Genomic DNA, 19,679 nt, shown 5'->3' with positions numbered 1-19,679 from the left:
CTAAAAATACAAAAAAATTAGCCGGGTGTGGTGGCACGCACCTGTAGTCCCAGCTACTCGGGAGGCTGAGGCAGGAGAATGGCGTGAACCCGGGAGGCGGAGCTTGCAGTGAGCCGAGATCACGCCACTGCACTCCAGCCTGGGTGACAGAGCGAGACTCTGTCTCAAAAAAAAAAAAAAGAAAAGAAAAGAAAAGGTTAGGAAAAGGGCCAGGTACAGTGGCTTACAACCGCAGTACTTTGGGAGACCAAAGATAGCTTGAGGCCAGGAGTCCAAGAGCAGCCTGAGGAACATAGCAAGGCGCGGTCTCTACAAAAAAATTTTTTTTTCAATAATTCAAGGAAAAAGGGCTGGACACAGTGGCTCACGCCTGTAGTCCCAGCACTTTGGGAGGCCGAGGTGGGAGGTCAGGAGTTTGAGACCAGCCTGGCCAACATGGTAAAACCCCATCTCTACTAAAAATACAAAAATTAACTGGGCATGGTGGCGTGCACCTGTAATCCCAGCTACTTGGGAGGCTGAGGCAGGAGAATGGCTTGAACCCAGGAGGTGGAGGTTGCAGTGAGCCGAGATTGCCACTGCACTTCAGCCTGGGCGACAGAGCAAGACTCTGTCACAGAAAATAATAATAATTTACAAAAAGTAGCTGGGCATGGTGGCAGGCGCCCATAATCCCAGCTACTCCAGAGCTGAGGCAGGAGAATCACTTGAACCCGGGAGGCGAAGGTGGCAGTGAGCTGAGATGGCACCACTGCACTCCAGCCTGGGTGACACAGTGAGACTCCCTCGCAAATAATAATAATAATAATAATAATAATAATTTAATGAAAAAAGATATAACATGCAAATAGTTACTGAAAAAGAGCTGATGTAGTTATACTACCATTAGACAAAATAGATTTTAAAATTTGAAAAGGTTATAAGAGACAAAGACATTATATATTAATAAAAGGCTCATTACAACAAGATTATATAAAAATTATAGGCATTTACCTCGCTAGGAACAGACTCTCAAAATACATGAAGCAAAAATGGACAGAATTAAAAGGAGAAATAAACAGTTCTACAATAATAGTGGGAGACTACAATACCCCATTTTCAGTAACGGGGAGAAGAATCAGATAGAAGATAAGTGAGGAAATAGAGGAACTAAGCATCATAATAAACCAGCTATACTTAAAAGACATATACAGAACATTCCACCCAGCAAGAGCAGAATACACATTCTTCTCTAAAGCACATGAGGTATTCACCAGACTGTATGCCACAATTCAAGTTTCATAATATTTTACAAGATAGATATCATACAAAGTATCTTCTCGGACCACACAGATGAAGTTATAAATTAATAACAGAAGGAAAACTGGAAAAGTCACAAATATCTGAAAGTTAAACAACACTCTTAACAACTGGGTCAAAGAAGAAATCAAGGTCAGGCACGGTGGCTCACACCTGTAATCCCAGCACTTTGGGAGGCCAAGGCGGGTGGATCACCTGAGGTCGGGAGTTCGACACCAGCCTGACCAACACGGAGAAACCACGTCTCCATATCTCTAAATATCAAATTAGCCCGGTGTGGTGGCGCATGCCTGTAATCCCAGCTACTTTAGAGACGGAGGCAGGAGAACCGCTTGAACCCAGGAGGCGGAGGTTGCGGTGAGCCGAGATCACACCATTGCACTCCAGCCTGGGCAACAAGAGCGAAACTCCATCTCAAAAAAAAGAAAAAAAAAGAAGAAGAAATCAAAAGGGAAATTAGAAAATACTTAGAAATGAATGAAAATAACACAACATACAAAAACTTATGAGCTGTAGTGAAAACAGTGATCAAAGTGAAATGTATAGTTGTAAATAACTACATTAAAAAGAGGGAAAGGCTGGGAGCAGTGGCTCACACATGTAATCCCAGCACTTTGGGAGGCTGAGGAGGGTGGATCACTTTAACTCCAGAGTTCAAGACCATCAAGTTTTACACTTACAAATGATTAAAGTAATAAACATTACGCATGTTTTACCTCAATAAAAAGCCCCTCACCACCACCAAAAACGAAAAGAATGGTCAAAAACCAGTAAACTGGATTGGCAAGGAAAAGAACTCTAGAAGGATCCTCAAGTTTTCCGGTCTGGATAGGAGATGAGATGAACTTGAGATCATTAAAAGGTACTTTCACATCAGGACAGCTGGAGATCTCGTCCATGTAGCTGCCTGGGTTGTGAATGGTCAGCATGAAGTAGGTAACGGAAGCCATGGGAGTGCAAGAGTTTGCCCTAGGAAGAACTCCAAGGCAAGAACCCTGAAAAACACATCCAAAAGTGAGGGGAGAGCTTTCTGCTCTTCGGGCTCCCGCGCGACGAGTCTACACCCCTAGGCTAAAAAGACTTACCAAAGTTTAAGTGCAGAGGAGCCCTTCAGGCCCAAGGAGGCAGCGGACCGTCTAGGCCCAGCTACAGAAGAGCCGCTGAGACGGGGGTCCCGAGCAGCGGGTCCCTGCGAGGCGCACAGGGCCTGAGCCACAGACGCTTACGAGCTAAGGCACCTCGGGGTAGTAGGCAGTGAAGCTAGTGCCCAGAGTACGGTGCCCTCCGTCTGCGCCCCGCCCACAACGCAGAAATTCCCTCTCGGGGCCCCTGTTGTCCTCCGAGCCTTCCGATTGGCGGAGAGGACCATGGGACCTGGAAGTTGTCTTTGTCCGGCCAGGGCTGCCCTTCCGGTTCCGTTGGGTCCCCCTTTGGCTCGGGTTCCTTGCCCCTCCCCCTTCCCGGAGCCCCGAGGGGCCGGAGCTCCTGGCGGTGCCGGATCCTGACGGCGGCCTTCCCCCGGGTCTGTAAGTGCGGAGACGGCCGGAGCGGCGGGCTGGGGTGCGGGGTGTCTCAAAATGGAACCCCCCTGGGGCCCTGGATCAACCGGGACCTGCACTGGGATGGGAGCCGAGAGGCTGGCCTAGGCCCCTGGGGACTTGAGGAGCCCTTGGCCCGGCCCACGCTGCGCCCCGCCCCTTTCCCTTCCCTGTGACTGGAGTGGGGAGCCTGAGGATGCCCCTGGGACCGCCTCATAGGACCCCAGCTGAGGGCCCAGCAGTTGGCTTGGGGGCCTGACTCTGGCATCTTATAAGAAGTGCCAGAGGTGAGGCCCTAAGAAAACGAGCCTCGGGAGCCAGCCCAAGACCAGGCATTCAGTGCCAGTCTTTGAGAACCACTGTGAGTGCTAGGTTACCCTTTTGCTGGGGTTTTCCCCTATTTGGCCACTGGTCGCAGCACCTTTTATATTACTGGCGCTATACCAGACACTGGAGATTGGCAAGATATTGTTCCAGTTTTCGGGATTAAGTTTGGGAGCCAGATCTGAACAAATAAGTACTCCTATGTGTATATATATGTATGTATGTATCAGTCACATATGTGTTAATTGCTCAAGGGGCCGTTGCTGAGAAGGCTTTAGAAAGAAAGTGATGTCTGAATTGTACTTGGAGAGAGTAAAGTGTTGAAGAGTTTTTCAGGGAAGACAGTTGCAATACTGTGGAGAAATGACTGAGCATAACTTGTGTGGGAAGAGGAGGAAATGGGGGGACTCCTATGCACAGAATGGATATGAGACTGGGAAAGTCGACCGAGGTCCAGATGGTGAATGGTGTAATCCTAAAGGAGATGGGTAGTTTTTTGAAGAGTTCGGAACAGAATATTGATATGGTCAGATTTGCACTGCAGGAAATCATTTTGTTCTGTAGAAAGCCCATAGAGAAGGGACTTTCTATTAACTGCATTTAGACATTTAGCTAAAAGTTAGGAACGCTTATCGGAGATTCTTTTGAAGGGGTAATGGGATCAGCCTAGTGAGAGGCAAAAAATTCCTGAAATAAGTTATAATGGTGTCATTGGTAAGGAGACAAATATACTGGAGATGATTATGTCAAGACTCCATAATTAACTGAATGCTGAAGAAGTGTGAGGGACCAAATCTAATTCTTAGGTTTTAGACCTCTGAGCTGAAGGATGGTAATGCCATTATCAGAAATAAAGCCATAAGCTTAGTGTAGATTATGAATTCATTTTTTGGACATGTTGAATTAAAGGTCTAATGAGACAGACACATAGAGCTGTCCAGCATGGAGTTGGAAATGCAAATCTTTAGCTCAGCCTAAACATTGTAGCTAGAGGTAAAAGTTTGAGTTATCAGCATAGAAGTGGAAACCATGGCAATAGCTGGCATCAGGAAGAGAATTTTGAAAAATAAGGAAATTTGGGGGGGGAGGGTAATGCTTGCATTTATGAAGCAGAAAGAGGAATTGGAGCTAGTAGTAGTCAGCAGTAGGCAATAAAGTGTAGGAGTGCAGGGTTACAGCAAGCAAGAAGACCCAGAAATCAAGAGAAGGGAATTTCGAGGAGAGACCACTGGATCAATTCATGCAGAGCATCTGGAGACTTGGGGGAGGGGAGAGTATTGCATTTCTTTATGAAGAGGTCATTAGTGACCTTTTAAAAAGCAATTTAGTACAGTGATGAGGTGATACTCTATGAAATATTAGGTACCTCAGCTGGTTTGGTGTTAAATGGGAATAAGGATAGGACACATTTAAAGCATTTCACAAAGAAAATTGACAGGCTTTATTTGTATACCTAACACATGCTTATAGGGTACATACCAGACACTGTTCTAAGCTCTTTAAAAAATTAAATCATTTATTTTCCATAACAACCCTATGAAATAAATTACTATTGATAGATGGGAATATTGAAGCAGAGTGGTTTGAGTTTACACAGAAAGTAGTTGAGCAGGGTTTTGATCCTAGGAAATACGGCTCCAGAGTCCATGGTTTTACCCACTGCTCTATGCAGTGACTGAATATAGGAGCCAAAGGAGTGGGAAACATTTAAGCAAAGAGAGGCTCATTGATAAGAATGGAGAGGCTTGGAAAGAGACCCAGGTTGAGAAGAAGGTAAGTAAAGGATTTATGTTTGATATGTTTTTTATTTCTTTCTTCCTAAGTCCGTTTCCACTCTCTGCCCATTTAGGTTAATTTCTTCCACTTTCATGCTTTCATTTATCACTTACCATCTGTAATCAGATCTTTTCTTCATATCCATCCAGCTCATGAATCCTCACCTTGATGTCATGCAGGCTTCTCTGGCTCAAGACCAGACTCATGATCATGCCCTCCAATATTCCCTGCTTTGCTGAATGACATTCATCAAAGATATCCAGTTACAGAAACCAAATATCTTGGAGTCATCTTGACCCTTTCCCCACATTGGTCACCAAGCCCATCAGTTCTTTGTTGGAAATGTCTCTCAAATCTGTTTCCCCTCTCCATCCATATTATTGTTGTCTCTCTTCAGGCCCATGCCATTCTGTCTTGATCTGTTTAGAGTAATCACATACTAAAATGCTTCCTTGTACTTTTCTCCAAGCCATTCTCCATAAGAAATTTTTTTGGCTTATTGAAGTTTAGACAGTGCATGAGTGCAGGCATCATGCATTTCAAGTGATAGGGAAATAGCCTAGAACAGGTATTTTTGAGTACCTTGAATTGAGATTTAGTTTGGTTAAGTTTGGCCATGGGGATTGGGATTTAGGGATTGTTAACATAGGGAGGTAATAAAACATTGAGAAACAGAAGACAGGCTTTTTGAAAAAAATAGCAAAAAATTGGAGACTTAGCTTTGAAAGAGATACTTACCCTTATACAATTTAGTGAAGCCTCAAAGAACAGACCAGCAAAACAATGGTGGAAAACAGTTCAATAGTTAAGTAATTTGCCCACTTCCACATAACAGTTCAAAAAAAAGAACTAGGCCGGGCGTGGTGTCTCACGCCTGTAATCCCAGCACTTTGGGAGGTGGGAGGCTGAGGCATGAGAATCACTTGAACCTGGGAGGCTGAGGTTGCGGTGAGCCGAGATCACACCACTGCACTCCAGCCTGGGCAACAGAGCGAGACTTGGTCTCAAAAAATGAAAAAAAATCAAAAGAAGAATTAAATCTATATTCATCAACATAAATTGCTTTCAAAAACAATGAGTGAAAAAAGTAAGTTGCAAAACAATATGTATAGTTTATGTATAAGAAACTTAATTACGTTATACTTTTGTGGCTAGACATATAGAAGTATTGTTTTTAAAATGCCAGGAGGGGCCGGGCACAGCGGTTCATGCCTATAATCCCAGCACATTGGGAGGCCGAGGCGGATGGATCACTTGAGGTCAGGAGTTCAAGAACAGCCTGGCCAACATGGTGAAACCCCATCTCTACTAAAAATGCAAAAATTATCCGGGCTTGGTGGTGCATGCCTGTAATCCTAGCTACTCAGGAGGCTGAGGCAGGAGAATTGCTTGAACTCGGAGGTGGAGGTTGCAGTGAGCCAAGATTGCACCACTGCACTCAAGCCTGGGCAACAGAGCAAGACTCCGTTTCAAAAAATAATAAATAAATATATAAATAAATAAACAAAATGCAAGGAGGGAGAGTCAGGAAGGATCAAACTTAAACTGAATACTGAGTGGTAGGCAGTTGAGAAGGGGAATTACATCTAAAATCTTCAAAAATTTTTCAAGAAGAATACATTCTGTATATATTACTTAAAAGTTGAAACAAAAGCTTGATAACTTGGAGAGTATCGTGTCATGAAAGTTACCTAAAAGAAGAACAAGATTAAGGTTTATAGAGAGAAAGGCTGTAGTATAATACAGCCTCTTTAGAAAAAGAACATACCATGTCAATGAGGGACAAAGATTTCCAAGTAGTTTTGAGTGGTAAGTTGAAAGATAAGGGCACTTTTATGAGACAGGTGAGGAAGCAAACTGATACCTAGCTTAAGAATTTATTATACAGATAGAAAAATTTTACTTGCCAGTAGTTATTAGAAGCATTTGAGAAAAGAAACTATTTTCTCACTGCCTGTAGTATAGCAATTTACATTGTCCCACCTGGAATATTCAGTAATTAGTCATTTTTTACTATCCTCATTTGAACAAAGGGAAAATTTCAAATTAGTTATAATTGTGGAAGGATTGTATAAATATAAATGAAGAGGAAGTGAGAATATTCCCATTACATTGATGTTTGAGAAATATCATTCAAAACTTGCTAATAGAAACTCAACAGTATTCAGATTTAATCTCAGTAACTGAGGCAATAGATAATAAAGACCTGAACTATGGCAATGATGTAAGAATGGAGGAGTGAGGAGTTGGTGATCATTCTGAGGAAAGAATCAACAAAATATGATGACTGTGTCTCTGATCTACCTGATCAGTTCTTTACTTTCCTTCAGTTACAAGAAGCTTGACTATAACCTAGAATTATCTGAGTGATTTTTATGATTATTTTGAGTAATTACTGCTATACTTAGAAGTTACCTACAGTTGGGGATTGTGAAATCAAATATATTCATAATTTTTATTGTCTGCTTTATTTGCAAATGGCATTAAGTTTCAGTCCACAAAGATAAATACACAAAAGATGGAAAATAATATAAAGTAAAATAGATGAGAAAGGTATAATAAGGATAAAGGCATAATATGCAATCAGGAATATGACTAATACATATATGCTTGCCATTTAAGTCTTCTAATTTCATGCAAATTTGGCTTGAAGTTATAACTTGTTTTTAAACATAAACCTTTTTTTGAAGCATAACAAAAACAAAAATATACAAGTCATAAGTGTGCAGCTCAATGAATTTTCTTGGCCTGTGTTTGTGATACTGAATGTAAGGAAGGAAATCTGAAGAGTTACACAATTTTTTTTTTTTTTTTTTTTGAGACGGAGTCTCGCTCTGTCGCCCAGGCTGGAGTGCAGTGGCACAATCTCAGCTCACTGCAAGCTCCACCTCCCGGGTTCACGCCATTCTCCTGCCTCAGCCTCCCGAGTAGCTAGGACTACAGGTGCCCGCCACCACTCCTGGCTAATTTTTTTTTTTGTAGTTTTAGTAGACACGGGGTTTCACCGTGGTCTCGATCTCCTGACCTCATGATCTGCCCACCTCGGCCTCCCAAAGTGCTGGGATTACAGGTGTGAGCCACCGCACCTAGCCGAGTTACACAATTATTATCCTTGAGATAAAACTGTACCAGCCAGGTGCAGTGGCTCACACCTGTAATCCCAACACTTTGGGAGGCTGAGGCAGACAGATTACCTGAGGTCAGGAGTTCAAGACCAGCCTGGCCAACATGGTGAAACTCCATCTCTACTAAAAATCCAAAAATTAGGCCTGGCGCAGTGGCTCATGCCTGTAATCCCACCACTTTGGGAGGCCGAAGCAGGTGAATCACCCGGGTCGGGAGTTCGAGACCAGCCTGACCAACATGAAGAAACCCCGTCTCTACTAAAAATACAAAATTAGCCAGGCGTGGTGGCGCCTGCCTGTAATCCCAGCTACTGGGGAGGCTGAGGCAGGAGAATCACTTGAATCCGGGAGGTGGAGGTTGCGGCAAGCCCATTGCACTTCAGCCTGGGTGACAAGAGTGAAACTCTGTCTCCAAAAAAAAAAAAAAAAAAAAATTAGCTGGGCATGGTGGCAGGCACCTGTAATCCCAGCTACTCAGGAGGCTGAGGCAGGAGAATCACTTGAACCCAGGAGGCAGAGGTTGCAGCAAGCCGAGATCACGCCATTGCACTCCAGCCTGGGCAACAAGAGTGAAACTACATCTCAAAACAAGAAAAAAAAAATTGTACCTAGATTAGTTGTTTCATACCTGGATTTTGGCATCATGCAGTGTAAACCACCAGTTCCAGATCTAACACTTAACACTTTCAACCTCCGTTGGGGTTTACAAGTTATTTATGTTTTCTAAGCTTAGTTTCGTCATATACAAAATGTGGGATAATGGTAATACTTACCTGTAGAAATTTTCACGATTAAATGGGTCAATTTATTTATTTATTTATTTATTTATTGTGATAGGATCTGGCTCTTTCACCCAGACGAGTGCAGTGGCATGATCATGGCTCACTGCAACGTCTGCCTCGTGGGCTCAAGCCATCCTCCCATTCAGCCTCCCAAGAAGCTGGGACTACAGGCGCATGACACCACGCCCAGCTAATTTTTGTATTTTTTGTAGAGACGGGGTTTCACCGTGTTGGCCAGGCTGATCTCAAAGTCCTGAGCTCAAGCAGTGTGCCCACTTCAGCCTCCCAAAGTGCTGGAATACAGGCATGAGCCACTGTGCTCGGCCTAAATGGGTCAATTTAGGTATAACATCTATACCTGAAATGTAGCAAGGAAGATTAGGTATCATTTCTCTTATTTTTAAATAAAATTAAGATGGTTCATAAGAAACTTTTTTTAACTATCAAAAAAAATTTTTTTTAAGTGTTTAAAACAGGTTCATGCCTGTAATCCTAGCACTTTGGGAGGCCTTGTGGGAAGACTGCTTGAACCCAGGAGTTTTAGGTTACAGCGAGATTTGATTGCGCCACTACACTCCAGCCTAGGCAACACAGCGAGACCCTGCCTCTACAAAAAATAAAAACATTAGCTAGGTGTGGTGGTGTGCACCTGTAGTCCTGGCTACTCAGGAGGCTGAGGCAGGACGATTGTTTGAGCCTTGGTGCCAAGGCAGCAGTGAGCTATGATTACGCCACTGCATTCTAGCCTGGGTGACAGATGACAGAGTGAGACCTTGTCTCAAAAAAAAAAAAAAAAAAGAAAGTTGAAATTTGGTTTTATATTGCCAAAACTATTTTGGTAACAAACCCTAGAAAGAAAGCTTTCCCTAGGCACTCAAAAGAAGATATCATAATGAAGAGCATCTGTACCATAGCCTAGTAATAATTTCATGGGGGAACATTAAGAACTCATTATTCTTCTGTTTTTTGTCAAATGAGCTGTATAAAGTATAACAAACCATTGGTCATTGCCCTCAAATAACTAACAGTCTATTGGAAAGAGAAACTAGTGAAAGGAAACAATTAAGGGATAAGATGTGTGGCCTGGAAATAAGAATTTATCAGAGAGAGACAATAGAGTGGGCTGACACATCCTAGGGAAAACATCCTTTAAGAAACCAATAAATTTTGCTCACATTCTTAGACTACAGCAGACAGATCAAAGCAAACACTTCCCTGAACTATCTGGTTGGCTGCTGTTGTTGATAATTTTCTTGAGAACTGATGGATAGGAAGCACAGTCATGCATCACTTAACAACTGTGATGTGTTTTGAGAAATGCGTCGTTAGGTGATTTCATCATTTTGTGAATATCACGGAGTATACTTAATGCAAACCTAGATGGTATAGCCTACTACACACCTGGGTTGTATGACACAGCCTGTTGCTCCTTGGTTATAAACCTGTACCACATGTTACTATACTGAATACTGTAGGCAATTGTAACACAATGGTGTTTGTGTATCTAAATATAGAAGAGGTACAGTAAAAATATGGTATTATATTCTATGGGACCATCATTGTATATGCAGTTCATTGTTGAACAAAACACTGTCATATGACACATGACTAAATGAAACTACACTCCAGCTCTTCATCTTTAGAGCAAGGAACAATTGTCTCTGAGGATAGTTGTCTAAAGCATTGTGAGTACTGTCATAATATAGGTAGAACCAATGAATGCTTATTTTGGGGTGTGAGGAGGGAAATACTGATCTGAGGGTTTCATAGGCACCTTCAAAACCAGCTAAATGCTAAAAAAGAATGCCACTTTTGTTTGGCCACTTGAAACAGTCATTTTTACAACTCTGGTTACAAATTGGAACATTCATCACTCCAAATCCAAAATGAGTATTTTAAGCTACTGCAGTTGCTAAAAGTGACCAATGATAATAGTTTTGCTGCTTTAAATTACTGACATTTTCCCTGTATATCTTCTACATTTTCCCTTCATGTTTGATACTCACTGTCTTTTCTCTGATGTTTCATTTGCTTGTCTACATCGCTCCTCTCTCAATGCAGTTTTTGTATTTATTGTGATTATCGGTACATTCAAAATGTCATACAAGGGGAAAGATTATGCTTTGTTTGTGTTTTTATTAATATACTTATTACTTCTTCTTATATTGGTGCCACACCAGTTCCCCCTCCTAAATTTCACCTCTCTTTCTTTTTTTTTTTTCTTTTTTTTTTTTGAGATGGAGTCTTGCTCTGTTGCCTAGGCTGGAGTGCAGAGGCGCAATCTCGGCTCACTGCAACCTCCACCTCCCGGGTTCAAACAATTATCCTGCCTCAGCCTCCCGAGTAGCTGAAACTATAGGCGCCCGCCACCATGCCGGGTAATTTTTTGTGTTTTTAGTAGAGATGGGGTTTCACTGTGTTAGCCAGGATGGTCTGGATCTCCTGACCTCGTGATCCACCAGCCTTGGCCTCCCAAAGTGCTCACAGGTGTGAGCCACTGTGCCTGGCCGGTCACCTTCTTTCAATGCCATTCTCATTCAAATGAACTCCTAAATGTAGAATCTTTACACATTCCTTTTATTCATTCTCTATATCCAGTCAGTTACCAAGTTCTTTGAAATATCTTTTGTTATTTTTCCTTTCGTCTTATTCCCATTTTTATTTCTTTCTAGGCCATCATGGCCTCAGACCTGCAATGCTTCTGCAGACACTAAGCTGGTCTTCCTAACAACAGTTCTTCCTTACCACTGTCAAACTAATCTGATAGGTTCAACTAATGCAAACTGAGCACTTGCTGTGTATTTAGTGCAGTCTTAGGCGATGGGAATACACACTGATTTGAACAGAAGAGGGTTTGGCCAGTAATGGGACAAGCAATGTAGCTGCAATAAGTATAATATAATTCAAAGCAAAAGTAAAGAATATTTTGTCTTAGAAGATGCAAGTTCCCAGCATTAGATGGAGATACTTCCCCCTAATACCATGAAACTTGGAGTTTGGATGGGAAGGAATAAGTATTTAATAAAGTGTGTTGAGTGTTACAGTAGAAGTATGCAATGGGCCCAGAAGAGACAATTCTACTCTATTAAGCGGTCAGGGAAGGGCCTCTCAGAGAAAATAAAGGAGTCACAATTGTTTAGAAAGTGGTGTTTTTGTTTGTTTTATTTTACTTTGTTTTTTTAGACAGAGCCTCATTCTGTCACCCAGGCTGGAGTGCAATGGCACAATCTCGGCTCGCTGAAACCTTCACCTCCCAGGTTCAAGTGATTCTCCAGCCTTGGCCTCCTGAGTAGCTGGGACTACAGGCACGTGCCACCACACCTGGGTAATTTTTGTATTTTTCATAGGGACAGGGTTTCACTATGTTGGCCAGGCTAGTCTCGAACTCCTGACCTCGTGATCCACCCACCTCAGCCTCCCAAAGTGCTGGGATAACAGGCATGAGCCACCATGCCTGGCTTGTTTTTTGTTTTGGTTTTTGTTTTTGTGATGGAGTTTTGCTCTTGTTGCCCAGGCTGGAGTGCAGTGGTGCAATCTTGACTCACCACAACCTCTGCCTCCCGGGTTCAAGTGATTCTCCAGCCTTAGCCTCCTGAGTAGCTGGGACTACAGGCATGTGCCACTACGCCCAGCTAATTTTGTATTTTTAGTAGAGATGGGGTTTCTCCAAGTTGGTCAGGCTGGTCTTGAACTCCCGACCTCAGGTGATCCGCCTGCCTTGGCCTCCAGAAGTGCTGGGATTACAGGCGTGAGCCACCATGCCCAGCCTAGAAAGTAGTGTTTTAAACTAAGGAAACAAGTATCATTAGGTCTGGAGCCAAGAGAGAGCTGTTATGTATCAGGCATTAAGGAATAAGAATAAAACCTGGACTCTGCCATCAGGAGCTGATATCCATTGTTACAGAAGTTAAGATGATAAAGATTGGACTTTGGGGTCCAGATGTGGCCAGGAGAAGCTGGTTGTCTCATCTGACTCTGAACTAAGGGGTTGATTAATACATAAAATTCAGTGAATTTCTTGATGCACTGAGATTATAGAGCTATATCTCAAAGACAGACCTAGCATACCTACCAATCTCATAGAAGACTGGTATATAAAGAGAATGTCAATTCATTATGTCATTAGTTTACAGTGACTAGTGGACTGGAATTATCGTGTTGGCATGGCAAATTTATCTTTTCCCTTGAGAGAGACAAATGGGAAGCCAGGTTATGAGAAAATCATTTATGAGAGTATGGAATCAGAACATGGAGACTTTCACCAAAGGAATTGCTATATAAAGGAATCAGTATGCAGACAGTTTGGGGAAAGATACCTTCTCCATTGTTGAATGGGTTTTTCCAGTGTTTACCTTAATTATGATTGGGTTTCATTAATCAGTTTATATTCAAGAGGTTAGTCTTCATCCAGGAGACAACGGGAAGTCACTGAAGGAGTTTAGGCAGGGGTGGGGTATAATCAGATCTCTGTTTTTGAAAGATGTGGTGGTATGAAAACTGTATTAGAGGGAACATAAGCAGGAAGCCAAGGCAACATTTATGAATCAGTTCTAGTAGTCCACATAATGACTAATGATTGATAAATAGGGATAAAGTTTAAAGAACAAAATCTAATAGGGATTGATTCGATCTATGTTACCGCTACTCAGATTCCCACCATATAGCTCATGTCGTTTTTCTACATCAAGTATCTTATTTTCTTTATAAAGAAGTGTTCCTTAAAACGGAGTTTAGATTTTTCCAGAATGGACAGGACAAAGAACTTTGTCTTTGCCTAAACATTGTCCCGTTAGTTCTGTGACTTTCATTTTATTGCAGAAATACTTGTATGAATAAGTTCATATCAATTTAAACAGAAAAGGGCTTGGCCAGGAATTGGACAAGCAGTGTCAGTGCAGTTGTTTAAAATATAGAGCAAAGAAAAAGAGCAAAGGAACCCATGTTTGCTGTAGGTTCTCTCTTCTTCAGAGACCAGTTTTTACTGAATGATTCCAGAGAGGTGAAAATCTCCATATTAGAGTTCTGAAGTGGGGAGACAATTGCTTTTGCCTTAGAAGAAGCAGGTTCACAGTTTTATATAAAATAAGATAATTATTTCATCTTTACTTGTGTGGGTTATGTTTTAGTTTGCTTTAGAAACCTGATAGAATTCTCATTTGAGAAGTTAAAAGATACTCTTGGACTATCCCAAGCACTATTCTCGTATAAGTATCTTTAAAAGTTGAACGAATGCCAAGCTATTTACACAAATACAAGTCTGCTCTTTAGGTGCAATTGGCACTTGATATTGGTAAGGTGTAATTTTTAACAGCCTTTGAAACCTGTTATAGTGGCTTCCCCTTTCAAGGAAGATTTCATTTGGATACATACAAAACAGATATGACAACACAGATTTGTTTTTGGAAGGTAGATCCAGCTTTCTTAATTGTCTGAGTTTCCTTAAATTCAACCTTTTTACATTTCTGTTCTTTAGGTCTGCCAAAATGTCTGAAAGATCAGATCTCCTTCACTTCAAGTTTGAAAATTATGGAGATTCAATGTTACAAAAAATGAACAAATTAAGAGAAGAGAATAAATTTTGTGATGTTACAGTTCTCATAGATGATATTGAGGTACAGGGACATAAAATTGTGTTTGCTGCAGGTTCCCCCTTCTTAAGAGACCAATTTTTACTGAATGATTCCAGAGAGGTGAAAATCTCCATATTACAGAGTTCCGAAGTGGGGAGACAATTGCTCTTATCCTGTTATAGTGGTGTGCTGGAATTCCCTGAGATGGAACTGGTAAATTACTTGACTGCTGCAAGTTTTCTTCAGATGAGCCACATTGTAGAACGGTGCACACAGGCCCTGTGGAAGTTTATAAAGCCAAAACAACCAATGGATAGTAAAGAGGGATGTGAACCACAGAGTGCTTCTCCCCAGTCAAAAGAACAGCAGGGAGATGCCAGAGGCTCCCCAAAGCAGGACTCACCTTGTATTCATCCATCTGAAGACAGTATGGATATGGAGGACAGTGATATTCAGATTGTTAAGGTAGAATCTATTGGGGATGTATCAGAGGTTAGAAGTAAAAAAGATCAGAACCAGTTTATTTCTTCTGAACCCACTGCTTTACATTCATCAGAGCCCCAGCACTCCCTGATAAATTCAACTGTGGAAAACAGAGTAAGTGAAATAGAACAAAACCATCTCCACAATTATGCCCTTTCTTATACAGGCAGTGATAACATCATCATGGCCTCAAAAGATGTCTTTGGCCCTAATATTCGAGGTGTAGACAAAGGCCTACAGTGGCATCACCAGTGCCCAAAGTGTACCAGGGTGTTTCGTCACCTGGAGAACTACGCCAACCATTTAAAAATGCACAAACTCTTTATGTGTCTACTCTGCGGCAAGACTTTCACTCAGAAAGGCAACCTTCATCGACACATGCGTGTGCATGCCGGAATTAAACCTTTCCAGTGTAAAATCTGTGGGAAAACCTTTTCTCAGAAGTGTTCCTTACAGGATCATCTTAACCTTCACAGTGGAGATAAGCCCCATAAATGTAACTATTGTGATATGGTTTTTGCACATAAACCAGTTTTGAGGAAACACCTTAAACAGCTGCATGGCAAAAACAGCTTTGATAATGCCAATGAGAGAAATGTACAAGACCTCACAGTGGATTTTGATTCTTTTGCATGTACAACAGTCACAGACTCTAAAGGGTGTCAGCCACAACCCGATGCAACACAGGTCCTGGATGCAGGTAAACTGGCCCAAGCTGTCCTGAACTTAAGAAATGATAGTACTTGTGTGAATTGAGTAGGGGCTTCATGCTCACAACTCGAACTGACTGACAATGTGGCAATAGTCTTAGTCTTTTTAGGAGTGATTTTGCTAGTTTGACTTCTCCAAAGCCTCTGTGTAGGTGGTAGGGAGTGAGTCAAAGCACTAATAGACCAGGCAACTTACCACTTGGAGTGGATTTGCCTTACTTTTGCCCTCTCCCATTTTCTGTTTTGAGTTATTTATCTTGTAAAGTCTGTTTTCCTTTCCCAAGGAATAATTCCTTTTGTCTACCTAACATTGACTTATGTCTTAGACTGACACTGTTTTAGGCTTTTCACTAGGCACATTCCGAAGGTACCAACAAGTTAATAACGTCACCTACTCTCCACTAATAGATGCTATGCTAAGAGAAGTGAATAATCTTTCTTTGGTAGAAAATAGGCTGAGATATAAGGTGATATTGCTATTGACCTGAAAATGTGATAGAACTTCTGGTTGCCTATTGATTATTCCTCCATGTCTGATAAATGAATCTGCTTCCTACCATTTGTACTTGTCTTGGAGCTGGCTATAAAGAAGTATGCTGGTTTGTTATGTACTCTTTTCAACAGTATCATAGCCCAACTTCATCTCATTGAATTGTTCACATATACCAGAGTACTCTCTCTTGAGGAACACCTGCAGGCAGATAGTTAGGGATGACCATGAGGAGCATAATCAACAGGGATAGAAGTACACTTATACAACAGCACTTACATGGGCGGTTTCTCTGGTAGCATGTCCCATAAGAGGCCATATGCTTATAATTAATGTGTAACTTGTTGATGCTTTTGAGATCAGGACTGCTCCAGGCACGCTAAAAATGTGCTAAAGTATAGTGGGCTCTCTAAAAAGAGGCTATTTGGGAGTCTCTGAATTTTGTTTCAGAGTTTAGCCATCAGAAAGGTGAGTTTGGCCATCAGAGTTTTGTCCTGTGCACCATAAAAGTCTCTGAATTTTCGTTTCCTCATGTACCTTAATTTCTAAAACGGATGATAAAAGTTAGGTTGGACACAGAAGGGGCAATCAAATTTCTGTATTCAGATACCTCTTAAAGGTACACTGTGCCACCTTGCTGCCTTTGATTGCAAATACAAAGTTAATTTTCAAAAAGGAAAAACAAAACAGCTCTTTTTCCTAAAACACATGTTGTACTTCAGACCTAAAATTCTAAGTCTTATTTGTTTCTCACCCATGAGTTAGATTTAGGTAATAGTATTAGTAGAGTCCTTAGAGAATCTTAAGAGGTCATTTACTCCACCTCTTTCATTTTAAATTGGGGTATCCAAAGCCTGAAGAGGTGGCCTGGCCAATATTGACCAAGGTATAACTAAATATGAGCTAGCATCTTCTTCCTTCTTCTCGCTATCCCTTGGCTTTAAAAGATTTAGTACATGAAGAATAATGCATTAGCAAAAAGCTCCTAGTTTGTGTTTCCCCTTTGTGTCTCCCTGTTGGCTTTCTGAGACAACCTGAATTTTGCCAACAAAATATCGCAGAGGGATTTATATTAATTATTTTTTAGTTAGATGAATATTATATTCTTCCCATCCAAGTGAGTGATTTGCTAGGTTTGTTTAGGGAGGGAAAAAGCAAGAATAATGTGAGAAGAATCTAAATGCGAAGTTGATTTTGTGTGGAAAACTGTTTATTAGTTTCCATCAGGATTTTCTGTTTTTATTTTTGAGCTATGAGAGTGCATGCAGATTTGAAAAATTAGGCTTGCATAGTCAGAGGGGATCTTCAATTGTTATATTTGATACGTTTACATGTATCATTGTTATCATATGTAAATTATCATCATGTGAGTCAGATGTGAAGTATGATTTTTGTCTTTTGTTCAAATATTTAAAATGATAATACAGTTGAGTGGTAAGACTAATAGGTACCTTATGCCTAACATCACTCATTATATGGTCTAATGATGCTTCCTAGCATTGTGATTTTTACATGATCCAGCCAAAGAGTACCAATTCTATGCAATAGTGAGACTCTACCCTGTCAACCAAACAGCATTTTTTGGTATTTTCTGTCAACATCATTTCTTCACAGGGAAATTTCAAGTTGGAGTGCTTCGTTTGCTCACATTCATGTCTTGTTTTTGTTACTGGTTTGAAGACTAAAAGGCACGGGTTCAAATAAGATTGGTCTCTTTGGTTGGAGACTATTTCTGGGTTCATTCAGTTGTTCAAGAAACATTAGTTAAGCACCTACTGTTGCTAGACACTATGCTAGATACTGAGGATAATGAAGGTAAGATTGATATAGTCCCTGCCCTCATGGAGCTTATAGTCTCATGTGGTCTTAGTGAAACAAAGTCTCAATTTGCTTTTATACTAGAAATAATAAAGAAAGCTGCCTTGCTGTATTCGATCAGTTAAAATCAGCAACTTTGTGCTTTTGTATCAGTAAAACATTTAGTTCTCACCTTTTGAAAATGCAAACCACTGAAGTGATTTACAGTCTCCTCCATTTTTGGCTGGAGAGGTGTTCTGTTTCTGTGAGACATTTTTCTAATTTTTGTGGAACTTCACTTTCCTCCTTCTTTGCTTATACGTGTTTGTTAGATTATATTGCAAAGAAGTCAAGTTACTGATATCCAGTATTTTACAGAGGAAGATGACTTTCAAAACTAGTCATATTTCTGTAGAGGAGGAAGATTTTTAAAACCTTTATCATTCAGCATTTGTATTTTATGGATCCCCAGGAGAACTAAAAAGGAGATGACTCTCTACCATAGTTTGGTTTAAAAAAAAATTACTCTGTCAGTTATTTATTTATTATTTAATACTAAACTCCAAACTGAAGTGGCTCTGAGGTAAATCAGATATGATTTTAATTTAAGTTTCTTTATTAGCAGATCTATAAATGGAAGGTGACCAATGTCACTGCTTCTAAAATACTGTCCTAAACAACCCAGAAGATTTTATTTCAGCTCATGAATAGCTGTTCTAAATCTGTTGTATGTTAGACATACTATGAACTACCTCTTCACTTATTATGGGGAAGTTTCCTTAATAAAAGTGTGACGATTAAAGCTCTGGTGTCATTGGTTATTTTCTCACTCTCCCCTCCTTCTATTCTTTTTTAATTGCTTTACTTTGAATACAGGAAGGTCTTCTTTATGTATAGTCTTAAAAATACATATTAAGCATGCTGAGCTTGCCTTCAGAAAAAAATACGAATTAATCAGAAAGTTGTTACTAGATTCATTTACTTCCACGAGAACCTGTTGCTGGAGGAGCAGAGCAACTGCCTTTAAGAATTGGTTCAGAGGCGGCCGGGCGCGGTGGCTCACGCCTGTAATCCCAGCACTTTGGGAGGCCGAGGCGGGTGGATCACAAGGTCAGGAGATCGAGACCATCCTGGCTAACACGGTGAAACCCCGTCTCTACTAAAAATACAAAAAATTAGCCGGGCCTGGTGGCAGGGCATTAGTCCCAGCTACTCGGGAGGCTGAGGCAGGAGAATGGCGTGAACCCGAGAGGCGGAGCTTGCAGTGAGCCAAGATCGCACCACTGCACTCCAGTCTGGGCGACAGAGCGAGACTTTGTCTCAAAAAAAAAAAAAAAAAAAAAAAAAAAGGAATAGAATTGGTGCAGAGGCCGGGCGCGGCGGCTCATGCCTGTAATCCCAGCACTTTGGGAGGCCAAGGCGGGTGGATCACCTGAGGTCAGGAGTTCGAGACCGGCCTGGCCAACATGGTGAAACCCCGTCTCTACCAAAAATACAAAAAGTAGCTGGGTGTGGTGGCAGGCACCTGTAATCCCAGCTACTCGGGAGGCTGAGGCAGGAGAATTGCTTGAACCTGCTAGGCGGAGGTTGCGGTAGGCCGAGATCGTGCCACTGCACTCCAGCCTGGACCACAGAGTGAGACTCTGTCTCAAAAAAAAAAGAAAAAGAATTTCTTCAGTCATATCTTCATTCAGCACAAATACTTGATGCCTACCAAGTGCTAGACTTCGAGAATACAAAGATCAGTAAGCCACTGTCCTAAATAACTCTGCCTAGATGAGGCAC

The 19,679-nt window shown here is 41.3% G+C and overlaps 2 protein-coding genes across 6 annotated transcripts in view, besides 4 other annotated features; one reads left to right on the top strand and one right to left on the bottom strand.

Moving 5' to 3' along the window:
- Positions 1 to 2,591, bottom strand: part of RABGAP1 (RAB GTPase activating protein 1) — a 173,196-nt gene extending 170,605 nt beyond the window's left edge. For 2 of the 3 annotated variants that reach the window (XM_017014567.3, XM_017014569.2), the window contains exon 1: positions 2,385 to 2,591. The gene's annotated coding sequence lies outside the window, so the exon portion shown is untranslated. Of the gene's footprint in view, positions 1 to 2,015; positions 2,295 to 2,384 lie in introns of all 3 variants that reach the window. The other variant, XM_047423130.1, reaches the window with a different exon arrangement.
- Positions 2,639 to 2,978: a silencer, noted in NCBI's record as "silent region_20244". NCBI's record gives its function as "represses an Ori minimal core promoter by ATAC-STARR-seq in GM12878 lymphoblastoid cells {active_cell/tissue: GM12878}" and the evidence as "EXISTENCE:reporter gene assay evidence [ECO:0000049][PMID:35858748]".
- ZBTB26 (zinc finger and BTB domain containing 26) lies at positions 2,750 to 18,696 on the top strand. Of its 3 annotated transcripts, none has more exons than NM_001304363.2 (2): positions 2,750 to 2,821; positions 14,318 to 18,696. In NM_001304363.2, exon 2 carries the CDS (start codon positions 14,328 to 14,330, stop codon positions 15,651 to 15,653), a length of 1,326 nt encoding a protein of 441 aa, NP_001291292.1. In that variant the 5' UTR covers positions 2,750 to 2,821; positions 14,318 to 14,327; the 3' UTR covers positions 15,654 to 18,696. The 3 variants fall into 3 exon arrangements, with proteins under 3 accessions (NP_001291292.1, NP_065975.1, NP_001291293.1); NM_020924.4 differs by having other exon boundaries at positions 2,750 to 2,825; NM_001304364.2 differs by lacking the exon at positions 2,750 to 2,821 and adding an exon at positions 2,997 to 3,198.
- Positions 11,772 to 12,272: an enhancer, noted in NCBI's record as "H3K27ac hESC enhancer chr9:125684269-125684769 (GRCh37/hg19 assembly coordinates)". NCBI's record gives its function as "activates a minimal SCP1, AML or CMV promoter by ChIP-STARR-seq in naive H9 embryonic stem cells {active_cell/tissue: H9 hESC(naive)}" and the evidence as "EXISTENCE:reporter gene assay evidence [ECO:0000049][PMID:30033119]".
- Positions 12,273 to 12,773: an enhancer, noted in NCBI's record as "H3K27ac hESC enhancer chr9:125683768-125684268 (GRCh37/hg19 assembly coordinates)". NCBI's record gives its function as "activates a minimal SCP1, AML or CMV promoter by ChIP-STARR-seq in naive H9 embryonic stem cells {active_cell/tissue: H9 hESC(naive)}" and the evidence as "EXISTENCE:reporter gene assay evidence [ECO:0000049][PMID:30033119]".
- Positions 18,649 to 19,406: an enhancer, noted in NCBI's record as "H3K4me1 hESC enhancer chr9:125677135-125677892 (GRCh37/hg19 assembly coordinates)". NCBI's record gives its function as "activates a minimal SCP1, AML or CMV promoter by ChIP-STARR-seq in naive H9 embryonic stem cells {active_cell/tissue: H9 hESC(naive)}" and the evidence as "EXISTENCE:reporter gene assay evidence [ECO:0000049][PMID:30033119]".

The sequence above is a fragment of the Homo sapiens genome, chromosome 9 (genome assembly GCF_000001405.40).
Source record: "Homo sapiens chromosome 9, GRCh38.p14 Primary Assembly".
Taxonomy (NCBI): Eukaryota; Metazoa; Chordata; class Mammalia; order Primates; family Hominidae; genus Homo; species Homo sapiens.
Note: the sequence above shows the minus strand (reverse complement) of the source record. Positions and strands in the feature narration are given on the sequence as shown.

Excerpts from the sequence above, each read along its gene's own strand:
- ZBTB26 (NM_001304363.2), top strand. The coding sequence starts at position 14,328 with ATGTCTGAAAGATCAGATCTCCTTCACTTCAAGTTTGAAAATTATGGA.